Source organism: Homo sapiens, chromosome 22 (assembly GCF_000001405.40).
Source record: "Homo sapiens chromosome 22, GRCh38.p14 Primary Assembly".
Classification (NCBI taxonomy): domain Eukaryota; kingdom Metazoa; phylum Chordata; class Mammalia; order Primates; family Hominidae; genus Homo; species Homo sapiens.
The window spans coordinates 41,510,301-41,525,692 of NC_000022.11; the positions used below are offsets into that span (position 1 = coordinate 41,510,301).

Genomic DNA, 15,392 nt, shown 5'->3' on the forward strand with positions numbered 1-15,392 from the left:
CACAGACGTGTAGTCACATGCGCCCAGACACGACCACAGCCTCCTGTCCTGGATACCAATTTCATAAGTGACCGATTTGTAAATGAAAAAGCTGATGTATTAATTATTAATTGGAAAGAGACTGCTCTGGAAACCCACGTTCTTTGCCATTCTCTTACCTGGGGGAACCCAGTGGGCCTTCAGAGGGCACACACTGGTCTGGAGTTTCAGTGAAGGGGTGTGTGGTTTGAGTGTATCTCATCAAGGGTCCGAGGGCACTGGCTGAGGTCCCTTCTCTGAAGCATCGCTCTCCCATGCCGGAGGCTGGCAGGTCCCATTTCCTAGTTCCTCCTTTGAGACTCAGTAGAGTCCACTAGAATCCCACCGTTTTGTTACTGGGGTCAGTCTCACTGACCCCACACAGGGACCTCCCATGTCTTCCAGATAAACCCTGGCCTCACATCTGCTGTGCAGTGGGCCCTTCCCTGTCCCTCAAGGAAGCTTCCTTCAGATTATAGGCAGGATGGCTACAGCCCGTGTCATCATTTCGTTTGGCTGAAACCTCCTTTTCAGAACAGTGGTCCCTTCGACAGCCTTCCATTTGGGCCCATCAAACACATTACCAAGAATTCAGCACTTCCGACAGTCAGACACCAGTCCAGGGGGCTCTCTCAGGTGTCGTCTAAGCCTGGGATCTCCAGCAAGTTATTTCAAAAAAAGCCTCTGGGGTTTTTGTTTTGTTTTGAGGCAGGGTCTTGCCCTGTCACTCAGGCTGGAGTGTAGTGGTGCGATCTCGGCTCATTGCAGCCTTGAACTCCTGGGCTCAAGTGATCTTCCTGCCTCGGCCTGCAAGTAGCTGGGACCGCAGGTGCACAGCTAATTTTTATTTATTTTATTCTTATTTTTATTTTTTGAGACAGTCTCGCTCTGTCTTGTAGGCTGGAGTGCAGTGGCACGATCTCGGCTCATTGCATCCTTGTCTCCCAGGTTCAACCAATTCTTGTGCCTCAGCCTCCCGAGTAACTGGAATTACAGGTGTGCACTACCATGCCTGGCTAATTTTTGTATTTTTAGTAGAGACAGGGTTTCGCCATGTTGGCCAGGCTGGTCTTGAACTCCTGACCTCAAGTGATCTGCCTGCCTCAGCCTCCCAAAGTGTTGGGATTACAGGCGTGAGCCACTGCACCCAGCCACTGCGCCTAGGCCAGGGCCTGCCTCTGCACTGCTGGCCTCATCTGGGGACTTGAGTGCCACAGGCACTCTTGGCAATTATTTAGACCAGTCCCTTCTCCAGATAAGGAAACTGAGACCCAGACCAGGGCAGGGACTTGTTCCAGACCCACCACCCTGGCCAGGTGTCACAGAACTGGGGCTCCATCTCTGCTCCCCTGTCCTTCTCTCTGACACTGCTAGTGGAGACTGGGCCAACATCCAAGCTCTTTGGAATTATTTTTAGAAGGTCTCTAAGAGAGGGCCTGTCTCCAGTGCCAGTATTTCAGAGTCAGAAGGGAGGCTGATGGGGTGGGGAGGGCTTGGTGAGGGTCACCTGGACACAAACCATGTTGCTAACGCCCAATTATTGATTTGTCTCAATAGGACATCAACCAGGAAGTTTATAATTTCCTGGCAACTGCAGGTGCCAAATATGGCGTGGGCTTCTGGAAGCCTGGATCTGGAATCATTCACCAGGTAAAGCTGGGCTCAGTCTGCCGTCCCAAGGGCCCAAGCCAGAGAAGTATGTTCCAGGCCTATGGGGGGAGGGGGTTTGAGGCCCAGGGGGGCTGAGGGGAACTGGATGACATATCCATCAGCTCTTATGCTCTTCCTCCTTTGTTTTGAAACTGATTTTCATTATGTCATTATACGTGCTCATTTTCTGGGTGAGAAGTTAAAATAATACCTCCTAACCACCCAGGTAACCAGCATTTTAAGTGCGACATGTTTCTTTCCACATTGTCTTCTGGGTGTGTACTCAAGCATCTCTATTCCCATAAACTCTCATACAGAACATGGTATTATTTTGTTTTTTTTCACAAGTGTCACCCCTTGTGGCATGCATCACTGACATTTGATGAGCCCATACTGTGTCTCAGGTACTAGGCTGAGCACTTGAAAGATATTTGCCATGCCCTGTGAGGTAGGTGCTTTTACTATCCACACCCTACAGAGGAGGCAGCTGAGGCACAGAGATGTTAACCTTCTTGCCCAGGGACACCTAGCTGGCTTACTGTGGAGCCAGGCCTGTGGGCAGGAGGGCTGGTCTGGAGCGAGTGCCCCATGCCACCGTGCTGCTCTGCCGCCTCCCTCGCCCCCAGAGCTCTTTCTGCTTCTGCACGTGGCGCTCCTCGGATTTCTTTTTGGCTCCTTCATGGTGTTCTGTAGGGTGAAGGTACCATAGGTCATGTGGCCATGTCAGCCGGGGGCTCCTCTGAGGTGTCCCAAGGATGGATCTTCTTTTGGTGGACAGTTGGACAGTTTTGTCTCTGGAAGTGCAAGTGTGAACGTGTATATCCTGGGGAGGTGGGTGCTTCCCTTTCTTCCAAGGGCACTGTTAGGGACCACTGACCTAGTTTGTGTCCATTTACATCCACCCTGTATGTATGAAACCTGCCTCTTCGCACCTTTGCAAGGTGGCCCTTCCCCCCACCTCCATCCCAGACCTCACTGTCCTGGCCTCCTCAGGATGTGCTGAGTCAGGCTGTAATCTGACGCCGCATGGGCTCCCAGCACCGCCCCGCTCTGAAACCAGAGCCAGCAGGGGATCACTCCTCTGCCCTGCCCAACCATCACTCTTGCCAGGAAGGGGCTGCGTGGAATGGCCGTTTGCAGCGGCCTGTGGGGACTAGAAAGCCCCTCTCTGCAGCAGGGTTAGGGAGTCAGGTGGACCCAGTCTTGGCCTTCTGTTACAAAGGGCACTGCAATGCAGGTGTCTCCCTTTCTACCTCAGTACAAATGCCCAGGCCTTTATGGCAGCTCCTGGGCCAAAGTTTGGAGCCGTGAGTGATGGCAGCTCACATCTGCCACCGGCTAGCTGCTAAGCATACAGCAGCTCGTGTGTTTGTTTCTTTAAAAAGAAAATGCCCAGGGGCCATGGGAGTACTTTGCAGCTTTACTTTCTTCCCGCCTTGATGTCACGTCTTCAGCAGCCTCAGTCCATTAGGTCCAACCCAAACCTGAACCCCTTTCCCTCTGGGAAGTGCCCTGGCCCCACTTGGCCCGCAGACCTTCCTCCACATCACAGCTTTCTGGTTCCTCTGTGGAGCCTCCCCGGCCCTCCCCGTGCCTGGCACAGTGGCTTCCAGTGGATCCTCTGTGGGATCTCTTCACATTATGTTCCAGCATCTGCCAAGTGCTTTCTGCACTGGATCATGTGCTCTGTGGGGACAGGGACTGTGGCTTATTTATTCCTCTCTAGCTCTGGGTTTGGGACCAGGTCAGTACAGAGCAGGTCCTTAATGTATGTGTGTGTTGTGTGGATGGATGGCTGAATTTCCAGGTGTAGTTCTAGGCATTAGTCCTTCTTCCCAGCCCTCACCCCCATCTGTCCAGCCACACCCACAGACCGGGGAGCTCACTGTCACGGCCAGCGTCATCGTGACATCTTCTGCAGTCCTCATGTCTGCCTGACCTCTCCCCCTGGATGTGGACCACAAGTGTCTACACCGTGTGGACCACAAGTGTCTACACCGTGTAGACCACCCCGAATTCTGTGTGCCCAGCCTTCGTGGATCCAACTTTTACAAGCTTGAGGCTCTTTAGGGATGCACTAGTCTTAAATCCTTGTACGTGGCAGCATTGGCCAGTTCTTCGCAGCCAGGTCTTCCCTCTGCATCCCCAAGAGATGAGACCTTTGGACCTTAGAGTCTGCTAGGCAGATGCTTGTCCTGAGGCAGAGGCCCTGGGGTTTCTGTAAGATTTCTGGGAGCACTGGTGGGTCCTGAGAGTTCACAGAGCCTGTCACACCTCTCATGTGTTCTTCCCCACATCCCCGGGTGGGGCACTAACTCCATCTGACTGATGAGCGGCAGAACCTCAGGTGAAGGCTCTTGCTGCAAAACAATAAATAAAAATGTTGCTTCCCGCAGGCACTATTCTGTGCCTCATGGACAGGATCTCATCCAGTCATCAGTGAACCAATGATGTGAGCACGATTGTTAGCTATTTCTTGATAGGGAAACTGAGCTCCGAGAGAAGTGACTTGTCCATGGTCCCACAACAACTAGTAGATGGTGGGGCCAGACCTCAGACCCCCCGATACAGGACGCCTGGCTCAGGGCTTGCCAAGCAGTGTCCTGCAGCTTCAGGGGGCCAGTGCCTCAGAGGTGCCTGGTGCCTGGGCCACACTTGGGTGTTGAGCCTATACAGCACCCAAGGTGTTGAGCACTTGGGTGTTGAGGTGTTGCTGCCTTTCTTACCAAATGTTTTGGGGGAAGTGCTCCCCACGGCTGGGAGGAGCGCCTCAGTGAAGGGAGTACTGTGAAATGGGACAGGTGATGAGGCAGGGTGGCATCGCGCCTTGAGCAAGTCACATGGGTTCTCAGAGCCACCTCCAGATGCTGAAGTGGACGAGGCATCACCTATTCTTTGCAGTTGAGGAAAAGTTCATAGCTTTGTGTACCCACTGGGGCCTCCCAGGACTTCTTCCTCAGGGGCCTTGTGGGGCTGGAGCCAGCTCCTGGAAGAACCACCAACCCCGATGAGAAGCCAGGTGGGGATGCTCCACACCCAGGATGAGGCCGGGCCTGGGCCCATCACAGGACAGTTTCTCTGGTTCTTGTCACATCCTGGGGTCATGGTGGTATGGGTGTTTGGTTACTGTGCTACAAATGAGGAAACTGAGGCATGGGGCAGCATTCAAAGGCCCAAGACATATAGCAGGAAATATCAGAGCTATTCAAGAGCCCAGGCCACCTGTCTCCCAAGGCTCTGGCTCTTCTTGGCCACCCTGGAGACGGCCTGGATTAAATGGGGCTGCTCCTACCAGTTCCATCCTGGGAGAGTGGCTGGACGTGGTTGGGAGGCCCCGGGTCAGTGGGGCCATTTTTTGGTATTCTCGGCTGAGGGCTTCTAAATATAACATCTTGGATTATTTTTCAGATTATTCTGGAAAACTATGCGTACCCTGGTGTTCTTCTGATTGGCACTGACTCCCACACCCCCAATGGTGGCGGCCTTGGGGGCATCTGCATTGGAGTTGGGGGTGCCGATGCTGTGGATGTCATGGCTGGGATCCCCTGGGAGCTGAAGTGCCCCAAGGTGAGGGTGGGGAGGGACTCATTCTGGGCTGGCTGTGGGGTGGTGGTTGGTGGGGATGAACGGGAGACGGTGGGACCCAGGAGGGAAAAGGGAACAAGTTAGACTCGAATCTTCTGGGAGGGAGGTAGAGACCAATAAGCAGCAATGTGAATGGCAGCAGGGCCATCCTGACTTCGTGGCTGGCACAGGCACACACGGCCTCTCACAGCCGCCTCGCCCCCTCCTGTCCAGGTGATTGGCGTGAAGCTGACGGGCTCTCTCTCCGGTTGGTCCTCACCCAAAGATGTGATCCTGAAGGTGGCAGGCATCCTCACGGTGAAAGGTGGCACAGGTGCAATCGTGGAATACCACGGGCCTGGTGTAGACTCCATCTCCTGCACTGGTGAGGAAGGCGGCCAGGCGACGTGGCCCCTACCCTGTGCTGGGCCTGATGGGTCTCCAGTTGGGAGTAGAAGCGGTGAATGGCCTTCACTTGAGAATCTGTCTGTTCCATTTGGGGACTTGGGATAGACAGAGGTAGAAGGAAAATTGGAGACAGCATTAGAGATTGTCTAGTCCACATCCTCATTAAACAGATGAAGAGATTGAGATACCTGTCGAGGCTGCCGGTGACTTCCTAACTGTGTGGCCACACACGGTTAGGAGCCAAGTCAGCTTCTGCTGCTGGGCCCAGGCCATAGCACTAGGCCACCTTGGGTGATCTAGACGAATCCAGAGAGGACAGAGGCAGTGGTGGGAATGGGCAGAGCCAGGGCTTCATTCATGAAGCAGCTGCAGGCCCACATCCTCCCTTCGCTGAAGTTCGAGCCTCACTCACTTCCCTTGGATTAGAGATCGGTGCCTGTCCGCCTCCAAGACCAGGTAGGAGCCAGCTGCTCCCTGCCTGTCACTCCTGGTGACCTGGCCTGGATGCCTGGTCCTCAGAAATCCAGGGAGATTTGTAACAGTCTAGACTTCCCAGGTGCCTGCCTGGGCTCCCTGGCAGCCCTGCAGAACTCTGGTTCCCCTGCAGTGATGGGGGCTCACTCCTGCCACGGGACTGCTCAGTCAGGACGTTGGTAACAGGCCCATACCTCCGTCCTAGTGGCTCCTGAGGCAGGTGGCCTGGTAGCAGCTGCAGTACCTGTGAGCCCCACCAGTTCTGTGACGCTTTGTGGTCCAGACAGTGTGTATCATTTCAGTTTTTGTTTTTGTTCTTGTTTTTTGAGACAGAGTCTAACTCTGTCGCCCAGGCTGGAATGCAGTGGTGCAATCTCGGCTCACTACAACCTCCGCCTCCTGGGTTCAAGCAATTCTCCGGTCTCAGCCTCCTGAGTAGCTGGGATTACAGGTGTGCACCATGATGCCTGGCTAATTTTTTTTGTATTTTTTTTTAGTAGAGATGGGTTTTCACCATGTTGGCCAGGCTGGTCTCAAACTCCTGACCTCAGGTGATCCACCCACCTCGGCCTCCATCACTGGAAAACTTGAGACACAGAAAAGTGTCTCCACCATGGTATGGCTGAAGGAGGGCAGGCCACCAGGCAGACAGACCAAGATCCGAATGTCAGCATCTACCTTTATGTGCTTTATGGCATGACCTTGAATCTCTCTGAGCCAGTTCCTCCCCTGCCAAAAAGAATAGCAACTGGGCAGTGTCTGGTCAGGTCAGCCTACAGTACGTGGTGCCTGTTCAATCTCTTGGGCGACAGTCAGGCCCCAAGCTCGCAGCTCAGTGTGTGGGGGCTGAATCTTCACCTGAGTCCTCTTCATTCTACCCAGCAGCCACCCTGAGCTGGGGCCCTGAGCTCTGATCCCCATGGCCTCCCCTCACCGGCCCAGGTTTTTACCCAGGGCCTCAAGGGATGAGTCGGCCCGCTGTCACCACATCTCTCTGAGTGGGAGGAGAAGCAATGCAGCTCCCTGGTGTGAAGATGCAGGTGGCCGCGTAGCAGGTGTGTGGGACCCTGGCCCGGCCACCAGCCAATGCCCGGGGCTCTGTTGCTCCACAGGCATGGCGACAATCTGCAACATGGGTGCAGAAATTGGGGCCACCACTTCCGTGTTCCCTTACAACCACAGGATGAAGAAGTACCTGAGCAAGACCGGCCGGGAAGGTGAGCTGGCAGGGGCAGGCCCGTGTGGGTGGAACAGTCACATGCCCGCTCCTCCCCAAGACAGAGCTATGCCTTTCCCTGTAGGGCAGGGGTTCTTAACCCATTGTCTCCAGACAGGCGTCCGAGGCTCTGAGAAAGCCCTGAAGAGGTGCAATATGTTTCTGAGTAGATTGTCTGGAGCTCTCTCCAGCTTCTCAAAGGGCCTGGCATCTGAGTTCAAGATAGCCCCACCTCAGGATGGGCATTTCATTTTCCCTGGAAGGTGGCTGAATGCCCGCCCTTCTCGGCCTGGTCCCTGCTGCCCCCTACAGGAAACTCCGGAAATGACATGGATCGCTTCTGTTGATAATTCCTGACCTAGCAGGGGAACATTTGGAAGGAGAACCACTTTCCCAGCCTCCCCTGACAACTTCCCTGAGGCTCTAGCCTGGCTTCTTTGGAGCTCAGAGGGCATTGGCACCTGTGAAGGGTGGTGCGTTGTGGGAGTGAACGAGGAGCCAGAGACCAGGGGCCATGGGGAGAGCCGTAAGCACGTGGAATCCTTGGAAGGCTCCTCCCTTTCCTTATTGAGTGACTGCTTCTTCAAAACCCAGCTCTTCACTTCCAGGACACCCTCCCCGGCTCTGAACCTTAGCTGGCGCTCCTCCTCTGTGTCTCCGTGTCCCTGACAGCTCCTGCACTAGGGTGTGAGCTCTGTAAGGGCAGAGACAGCAGCCTTGGTTTCTTCATTGGCCTAGTCAGTGCCCAGGGTGGGCCTGGTGTTTGGCAGGTGCTCAGGTGGGTGGTGAGTGAACTCTCAAGAACAGTTTATGTTTCACGTGCTCCATCCCCGTCCCTTGTTGATTTCAGACATTGCCAATCTAGCTGATGAATTCAAGGATCACTTGGTGCCTGACCCTGGCTGCCATTATGACCAACTAATTGAAATTAACCTCAGTGAGGTGAGGAGACAATTAACTGGGTTCAAGAAGTTTCTGAGAGTAGTGGGGAGCAGGGCGGGTCCTGCCTAAATACTCACTGAGGGCCGGGTGGTGGCTCACAGCTGTAATCCCAGCACTTTGGGAGGCCAAGGCAGGTGGGTCAGTTGAGGTCAGCAGTTCAAGACCAGCCTGTCCAACATAGTGAAACCCCGTCTCTACTAAAAAAAAAAAAAAAAATACAAAAATTAGCTCGGCATAGTGCCATGTGCCTATAATCCCAGCTATTCAGGAGGCTGAGGCAAGATAATCGCTTGAACCCGGGACGCAGAGGTTGCAGTCAGCCGAGATCGCACCACTGCACTCCAGCCTGGGCGACAGAGCGACACTGTCTCAAAAACAAAACAAGAAAAACCTCAGGGTGACTCGTGGGCCCCTGGGTCCCCAGTGTTCCTGCAAACTGCTTCCTGAAGCAGCCTGGAGCAGTGGGTGGGGAGGGGGGAGACACAGCCACGGGGAGAGCAGAGGTAGCTCTGGCTGCTGAACCAGAAGTGGATGTCAGTTTGCCACCAGCTCAGCTTTAGGAGAAGCCAAGGTTTCACCCTGAAGGGTTTTTGTTATCTGAGTTCAGAGGGCAAATCCCAGCAGGGTTAGGCACCCTGAGACGCACAGATCAGAGCAGGTGTTTGCAGAGCCAGAGGAAGGGCAGGCTAGAGGATCCCGTCTGCAGGAGTTCACACCTCGGCTCTGCCACTTAAGTTGTGTGGCCTTGGTCACGCACTTAGCCTCTGTAGGCCCCTTGCTCCATCACGTGTGGAACCTACAGCAGTCGTGAGGATTGAATGAATTCATGTAACTAACACTGACGGAGGTTTACTGCATGCTGCGCACATAGCTGAGTGCCTCGCATTTACTGATGATTATGATATGTAAAGCGTCTGGCCTTAAGTCCATTTTTGTCATGATTCCAAAAGCGGCCGGGCATGGTGGCTGACACCTGTAATCCCAGCACTTTGGGAGGCCGAGGCGGGCAGATCATGAGGTCAGGAGATTGAGACCATCCTGGCTAATGTGATGAAACCCCGTCTCTACTAAAAAAATACAAAAAAATTAGCCAGACGTGGTGGCGGGCGCCTGTAGTCCCAGCTACTCGGGAGGCTGAGGCAGAAGAATGGTGTGAACCCGAGAGGCGGAGGCTGCCGTGAGCCAAGATCGTGCCACTGCACTCCAGCCTGGGCAGCAGAGCGAGACTCCATCTCAAAAAAAAAAAAAAGATTCCAAAAGCAACATCGAATGGGAGATAATGAACTTAGGAAGCTGACAGCCTTGATCCATTCCATGCCTCTGCTGTCTCCTAGCTATGTGACTTCAAGCACAGCATGTCACTTCTGAGCTTCAGTTCCTTCATCTGCAGAGCTGAGCCCAGCCTTGCAGGGCTGGAGGGAGCCCGGGAGCGGGTGTGTGCAGAGCCAACTGCTCAGTTCTTCCCTGTGATGAGGTTTCAGTCAAGAGAAAGTCGTTGGCCTCTCTGTGGGGACGTGGTGAGGCAGTGAAAGAGGCTGTCCCCGCTTCAAGGTTTCTTCCCTCCTCTCTTTCTTCTCCTTGCATGTTTGTTTCTTCAGCTGAAGCCACACATCAATGGGCCCTTCACCCCTGACCTGGCTCACCCTGTGGCAGAAGTGGGCAAGGTGGCAGAGAAGGAAGGATGGCCTCTGGACATCCGAGTGGGTGAGCACCTTCCACCCCATCTGTTTAGCAGGTCTCAGGGCCAGTGGCTCTGCCCAGGGCTGTAGACAATCACCTATGCCTACTGTGTGGCACTTTCTAAGGTGGGCAGTTTCTGAAATGGGTTTATTATTGAAAAATTACTTTTTCGGCCAGAAGTGGTGGCTCATGCTTGAAATCCCAGCATTTCAGGAGGCCAATGCAGGTGGATTACTTGAGTCTAGGGGTTCAAGACCAGCCTGGGCAACATGGAAAAACCCCGTCTCTTAAAAGAAAATGCAAAAATTGGCCAGGGGCAGTGGCTCACACCTGTAATCCCAGCACTTTGGGAGGCCGAGATGGGTGGATCATGAGGTCAGGAGATCGAGACCATCCTGGCTAACACGGTGAAACCCCATCTCTACTAAAAATACAAAAAATTAGCCAGGGGTGGTGGCAGGCACCTGTAGCCCCAGCTACTTGGGAGGCTGAGGCAGGAGAATCGCTTGAACCCAGGAGGCGGAGGTTGCAATGAACCGAGATTGTGTCACTGCACTCCAGCCTGGGTGACAGAGCGAGGCTCCGTCTCAGAAAAAAAAAAAAAAATTGGCCAGGTGTGGAGGCGCATGCCTATAGTCCTAGCTACTCAGGAGGCTAAGGTGGGAGGATCACTTGAGTCCTGGAGGTCAAGGCTACAGTGAGCCGAGATGGTACCACTGCATTCCAGCCTGGGCAACAAAGGCAGACTCAAAACTGCAGACTCAAGCAACAGAGCCTGCCTCCAAAAAAAAAAAAAAAAAAAAAAAAGAAAGAAAAGAAAAATTACTTTTTCTTGGCAGAAAAGAAAAATATGTTTATTGTAGAGAATATTCACAATCAAGAAGAATTTTTAAAACTCCTAATCTCAACCCCCAGCCAGGAGCAAGCTCTTAGAGCTCTTGGAGAGGTGTGCTGTGTTTCTGTGTATTGTGTGCATAGATTTTCCCGTTTTACATTTTATATCACCCATGCTGCTTTATGTGACTTTTCATGCTTTACACATGCAGACGCCCTGGCATGCCAGTCACTGGCATCTGCTGCTGCTGGGTACAGTGTGGCTGTGAAGAGCATGGAGCCTGGAGCCAGATGGCCTGGGCTTGAATCCTGGCTCTGCCACCTAACAGCCACTAACAGCTGAGTGACCCTGAGCAAACTACTTCACTGTCTATGTGTGGGTTCCCCATCTGTAAAACAGGAGTCATGATCGTACTGACACCTTTGAAGGTGGTGTTGGGCCTACTGCTGCTATCACCAATGAGAAAAATAAATAAAAAATAAAGTTGTCTGGAGAAGTGACAATATGTGAAAAGAGATTTCTATACCGTCTGGCCGAAAATAAGGGCAATATAATGTGTTCGCCCTTATTCATTGAAGTAATTTTAAGAAAAAAAATATTTGGTGGTTTAATAATTAGAAAGTAAATTACTAAATTAATAAAAGAAACTATCTTGGCTGGTTATATGGGCTTTTGCCAGTAATCCCAACCCTTTTTTTTTTTTTTGAGACAGAGTCTTGCTCTGTCACCCAGGCTGGAGTGCAGTGGCACAATCTCGGCTCACTGCAGCCTCCGCCTCCCAGGTTCAAGCAGTTCTGCCTCAGCCTCCCGAGTAGCTGGGACTACAGGCGCCCGCCACCATGCCTGGCTAATTTTTGTATTTTTAGTAGAGATGGGGGTTTCACTGTGTTAGCCAGGCTAGTCTGGAACTCCTGACCTCAAGTGATCTGCCTGCCTCGGCCTCTCAAAGTTGTGGGATTACAGGTGTGAGCCACCGCGCCTGGCCAGTCCCAACACTTTGAGAGGCTGAGGCAGGAGGATCATTTGATCCCAGGAGTTCAAGAGCAGCCTGGGCAACATGGTGAGACTTTGTCTCTACAAAAACAATTTATTGAATTAGCCAGGTGTGGTGGTACTCACCTGTGGGTCCCAGCTACTCAGGAAGTTGAGGCAGGAGGAGTTGCTTGAGCCCCAGGAGTTAGAGACTGCAGTGAGCAAGCCTCGACTGTGCCCTTGCACTCCAGCCTGGGCGACAGAGCAAGACCCCATCTCAACAACAACAAAAAGAGACTGTCTAGACAGAAAGTGCGATGTTATTCAGGTTTTATAGACTTTTTAAAAAGAACTCTTATTGCCCTGATTATAAAACAATCTTTAAAACCCAGAAAATACTAGAAAGTATAAAAGAAGAAAATTAGCATCTCCTGTCAGCCCCAGCCCATCAAGGATGGCTGTTCGTATGAGCCCTCTGACGTGCCTACACGTGTACATGATATTGCTGTAAAAGGGGTCATAGTCCTAATGTGTTCAGCATCATGGCCAATGGCTACAGCATCTTTCTTCAAATGACGCCACGTCATGAGTTAGCCTGTCCTTTATTGTTGGATATTTCGGTTGCTTGCAACTGGTCTCTGTTAAAAAAGTCTCTGGCCCAGCCCAGATGGTGAACTCTTTTGGCCAAGTCTGGATAATTTGAAGTCAGGTGGAGACCTCTGCTCACTGTCTCCTCCTGACCCTTAACCCCACCACCCACAATGCACCAGGTCTAATTGGTAGCTGCACCAATTCAAGCTATGAAGATATGGGGCGCTCAGCAGCTGTGGCCAAGCAGGCACTGGCCCATGGCCTCAAGTGCAAGTCCCAGTTCACCATCACTCCAGGTTCCGAGCAGATCCGCGCCACCATTGAGCGGGACGGCTATGTGAGTGCCCATATCCCCCTGCCCATCTCCCCCACCCCATGCTGAGTAATGCCTCCAGGCGGCACAAGCCCAGAGGCCTGTTGGGCCGGGGCTGGGGCAGGTCCCAGTGGCTGCCCTGGGGTTCCAGTACAGCACTTCGTCCTGCAGCCACCACATCACCCCTTCCCATCAGACTCTCACCCACCCTTGACATTCTGTCTTCCTCTCTCCCTGGCAGGCACAGATCTTGAGGGATCTGGGTGGCATTGTCCTGGCCAATGCTTGTGGCCCCTGCATTGGCCAGTGGGACAGGTAAGAGGCGTATCTTTTGACAAGACAGCCCCTTGTGCACAGGGTACAGAGCCCCAGAAGTTGGAGGGGGAATTATTGGGGTGGAGAGAAGAGACTCCAGCCAAGGTCTCTAGCTCCAGGGACTCTTGCCCATTAGAAGCCTCTGGCAGACATGCCTGGGAAGAGGGGCTGGGTGAGGAAGGGCCCTGCAGAGGCACTGGGGGGCAACTTGGCTGAAGCCTGGGCTGGCAGGAGGAAGCCAGCGCGGCCTCACCCTGACGGACACAGCAGGAGCCGTTTGGGAGGAGGCAGTGCCCCAGGTCAGGAAACTCAGGCCTTGACCAAGGCCTTGCCTCTGGCTTACGTGTGGTTGCAGGCTGGGCCCAGTGATCCTGAGGTTCCCTTCTGCTCTGCGCGTGGCCCCAGGAGGAGGCAACCCTGGCAGGGCCTCTTCATTTTCCCTCGGTAGGAGCTAGGCTGGGCTGCGCCACAGGAACCCAGCTTATCTGTCCTCGGGACAGGCCAGGTGACAAGGCCAGATATCCCTAACCCTGATCCCTCTGACCTGGCAGGAAGGACATCAAGAAGGGGGAGAAGAACACAATCGTCACCTCCTACAACAGGAACTTCACGGGCCGCAACGACGCAAACCCCGAGACCCATGCCTTTGTCACGTCCCCAGAGGTGAGACTGCCCAGCTGCGCACAAGCCTGGGATGGCCTCTGGGGGTCCCTGGCGGGTCAGAGGAGGAGGCAGAAGGAGATGGGGACTGGGGTCATCCAAGTGGTAGCCAGGAGCTACAGGCCTTCCCAGCCTCAGGCGCATGCTTGGTGCTTCCTGCCTGGGGCTCCCTGGGTCATGGGATTATGAGATATTTATACAGTGGTTTGTGCTTATGAGCATGGAATTTGGAATCTCACTCACTGCCTAGGACACATCCCAGCCCTGCCTCTAACTCGCTGTATGAGTGTGGCCAAGTCACTTACCTTCTCTGTGTCCCCGTAATCCTCGGGATTACCTGGGAAAGTGCGTGGGACACATGCAGTTTCCAACCCCAGGTAGGAGTTCCACAAAAGCGAGGCCTTTGCCATTGTTCCCGTGGCCAGAGTGAGCCTTGCCCTTGGCGGTATTCAGCCCTGGCCGTGACTGGCACATGGCCAGGCTCTCTTGACTTGGTTGTTTATCTGCGTGTTCTACAAATATGTCTTGCTAAATGGGTGAAGGAATGGCTCCTTCCATGTTTTTAGTGTCCTGCGCACTGAGCAGGTTTGCATCATACCAGCATTTCTGCGCCAGGGCCCCCACTCCCTCCAGGATAGCTGTGAGGAGAGAGAACAGCACTGCCGGCCCGGCCCTGCAGGGATGGGAGAGGCCGCACTGCCCTTGGCTTCCTGAGTCCTCTGCAGGCCCAAGGCCCCGTGGTCCCAAAGATCGTCCTGCAGCTCTGGCCTCTGAGGAACACAGGGGTCTGGGAAGAACATGGAAATTTCCTGGGTTCCTTTCTCAGTTTTGGCCTAGGCTTTTGGTAGGTGCAGGAGACAGGAGTGGCAATTGGTGCTGACCAACAAACTGGCCACCTCCATTTCAGATTGTCACAGCCCTGGCCATTGCGGGAACCCTCAAGTTCAACCCAGAGACCGACTACCTGACGGGCACGGATGGCAAGAAGTTCAGGCTGGAGGCTCCGGATGCAGATGAGCTTCCCAAAGGGGTGAGCGCCCACGCCCCCTGCTTGCTGGTTGCTGTGTGGCCACGTCACTTCCTTCTCAACCTCACAGCACCTCCTGTGCAGGCAGGGAGGGCGCTGCTAGTGAGAAGGAAGCAGCTCTGTTCCCTGGGAGGGGAGGTGGGGCCCGAGGAAACTTGCCTTCTGAGAGTCTGTCCTTGTGGGAACTGAGGACTCAGCACCCCACGCATCCCCATTCCCTGCTGCAGGAGTTTGACCCAGGGCAGGACACCTACCAGCACCCACCCAAGGACAGCAGCGGGCAGCATGTGGACGTGAGCCCCACCAGCCAGCGCCTGCAGCTCCTGGAGCCTTTTGACAAGTGGGATGGCAAGGACCTGGAGGACCTGCAGATCCTCATCAAGGTCAGCAGCATGGGGACGGCAGGACAGCCCCACCCTGCCAGGGCCCCCCGTCCCCTGAGCATCGGGAAGGGCCATGAACCTGGAGGAAGTGAGCACAGTCAAGACGCAGGTGGGAGATGGAAGGGAGGTTTGGCTGCAGAGCAGAGAGGGTATCGCAACGCAGTCCAGCGTCCCCCTTCTCTGTGGCCCCGAACTGGGCAGAGCTAGATCTGGCCAGCCTCCGTCTGGGGCCCTCAGCCATCCAGCAGCAGCTGATCAGAGCCACCTCCAGTGGGTGTGGGCAGGTGAGTACAGCTCAGGCTGGGCTGGGACAGTGTGTGTGATTGCACAGCAGGCTCCACACC

The 15,392-nt window shown here is 54.1% G+C and overlaps 1 protein-coding gene across 1 annotated transcript in view, besides 7 other annotated features; it reads left to right on the plus strand.

Annotated features, from left to right (window-relative positions):
* Positions 1-15,392, plus strand: part of ACO2 (aconitase 2) — a 59,858-nt gene that overhangs the window by 41,184 nt on the left and 3,282 nt on the right. The window contains exons 4-14 of the mRNA NM_001098.3: positions 1,576-1,668; positions 5,077-5,235; positions 5,467-5,617; positions 7,227-7,331; positions 8,181-8,272; positions 9,871-9,976; positions 12,530-12,687; positions 12,905-12,978; positions 13,530-13,641; positions 14,546-14,668; positions 14,893-15,048. Of these exons, the coding sequence (NP_001089.1) occupies positions 1,576-1,668; positions 5,077-5,235; positions 5,467-5,617; positions 7,227-7,331; positions 8,181-8,272; positions 9,871-9,976; positions 12,530-12,687; positions 12,905-12,978; positions 13,530-13,641; positions 14,546-14,668; positions 14,893-15,048 (1,329 nt within the window). The remainder of the gene's footprint in view (positions 1-1,575; positions 1,669-5,076; positions 5,236-5,466; positions 5,618-7,226; positions 7,332-8,180; positions 8,273-9,870; positions 9,977-12,529; positions 12,688-12,904; positions 12,979-13,529; positions 13,642-14,545; positions 14,669-14,892; positions 15,049-15,392) is intronic.
* Positions 424-586: a silencer, noted in NCBI's record as "fragment chr22:41906728-41906890 (GRCh37/hg19 assembly coordinates)". NCBI's record gives its function as "represses an EF-1alpha promoter that drives an FKBP-Casp9 reporter gene in an ReSE screen in HepG2 liver carcinoma cells {active_cell/tissue: HepG2}" and the evidence as "EXISTENCE:reporter gene assay evidence [ECO:0000049][PMID:32094911]".
* Positions 2,477-3,084: an enhancer, noted in NCBI's record as "NANOG-H3K27ac-H3K4me1 hESC enhancer chr22:41908781-41909388 (GRCh37/hg19 assembly coordinates)". NCBI's record gives its function as "activates a minimal SCP1, AML or CMV promoter by ChIP-STARR-seq in primed H9 embryonic stem cells {active_cell/tissue: H9 hESC(primed)}" and the evidence as "EXISTENCE:reporter gene assay evidence [ECO:0000049][PMID:30033119]".
* Positions 2,545-2,839: an enhancer, noted in NCBI's record as "tiled region #731; HepG2 Activating DNase unmatched - State 14:Gen5', and K562 Activating DNase unmatched - State 5:Enh". NCBI's record gives its function as "activates a minimal TATA promoter and a strong SV40 promoter by Sharpr-MPRA in HepG2 and K562 cells {active_cell/tissue: HepG2 | K562}" and the evidence as "EXISTENCE:reporter gene assay evidence [ECO:0000049][PMID:27701403]".
* Positions 3,692-4,298: an enhancer, noted in NCBI's record as "H3K27ac-H3K4me1 hESC enhancer chr22:41909996-41910602 (GRCh37/hg19 assembly coordinates)". NCBI's record gives its function as "activates a minimal SCP1, AML or CMV promoter by ChIP-STARR-seq in naive H9 embryonic stem cells {active_cell/tissue: H9 hESC(naive)}" and the evidence as "EXISTENCE:reporter gene assay evidence [ECO:0000049][PMID:30033119]".
* Positions 4,299-4,905: an enhancer, noted in NCBI's record as "H3K4me1 hESC enhancer chr22:41910603-41911209 (GRCh37/hg19 assembly coordinates)". NCBI's record gives its function as "activates a minimal SCP1, AML or CMV promoter by ChIP-STARR-seq in naive H9 embryonic stem cells {active_cell/tissue: H9 hESC(naive)}" and the evidence as "EXISTENCE:reporter gene assay evidence [ECO:0000049][PMID:30033119]".
* Positions 14,785-14,834: an enhancer, noted in NCBI's record as "active region_19117". NCBI's record gives its function as "activates an Ori minimal core promoter by ATAC-STARR-seq in GM12878 lymphoblastoid cells {active_cell/tissue: GM12878}" and the evidence as "EXISTENCE:reporter gene assay evidence [ECO:0000049][PMID:35858748]".
* Positions 14,845-15,014: an enhancer, noted in NCBI's record as "active region_19118". NCBI's record gives its function as "activates an Ori minimal core promoter by ATAC-STARR-seq in GM12878 lymphoblastoid cells {active_cell/tissue: GM12878}" and the evidence as "EXISTENCE:reporter gene assay evidence [ECO:0000049][PMID:35858748]".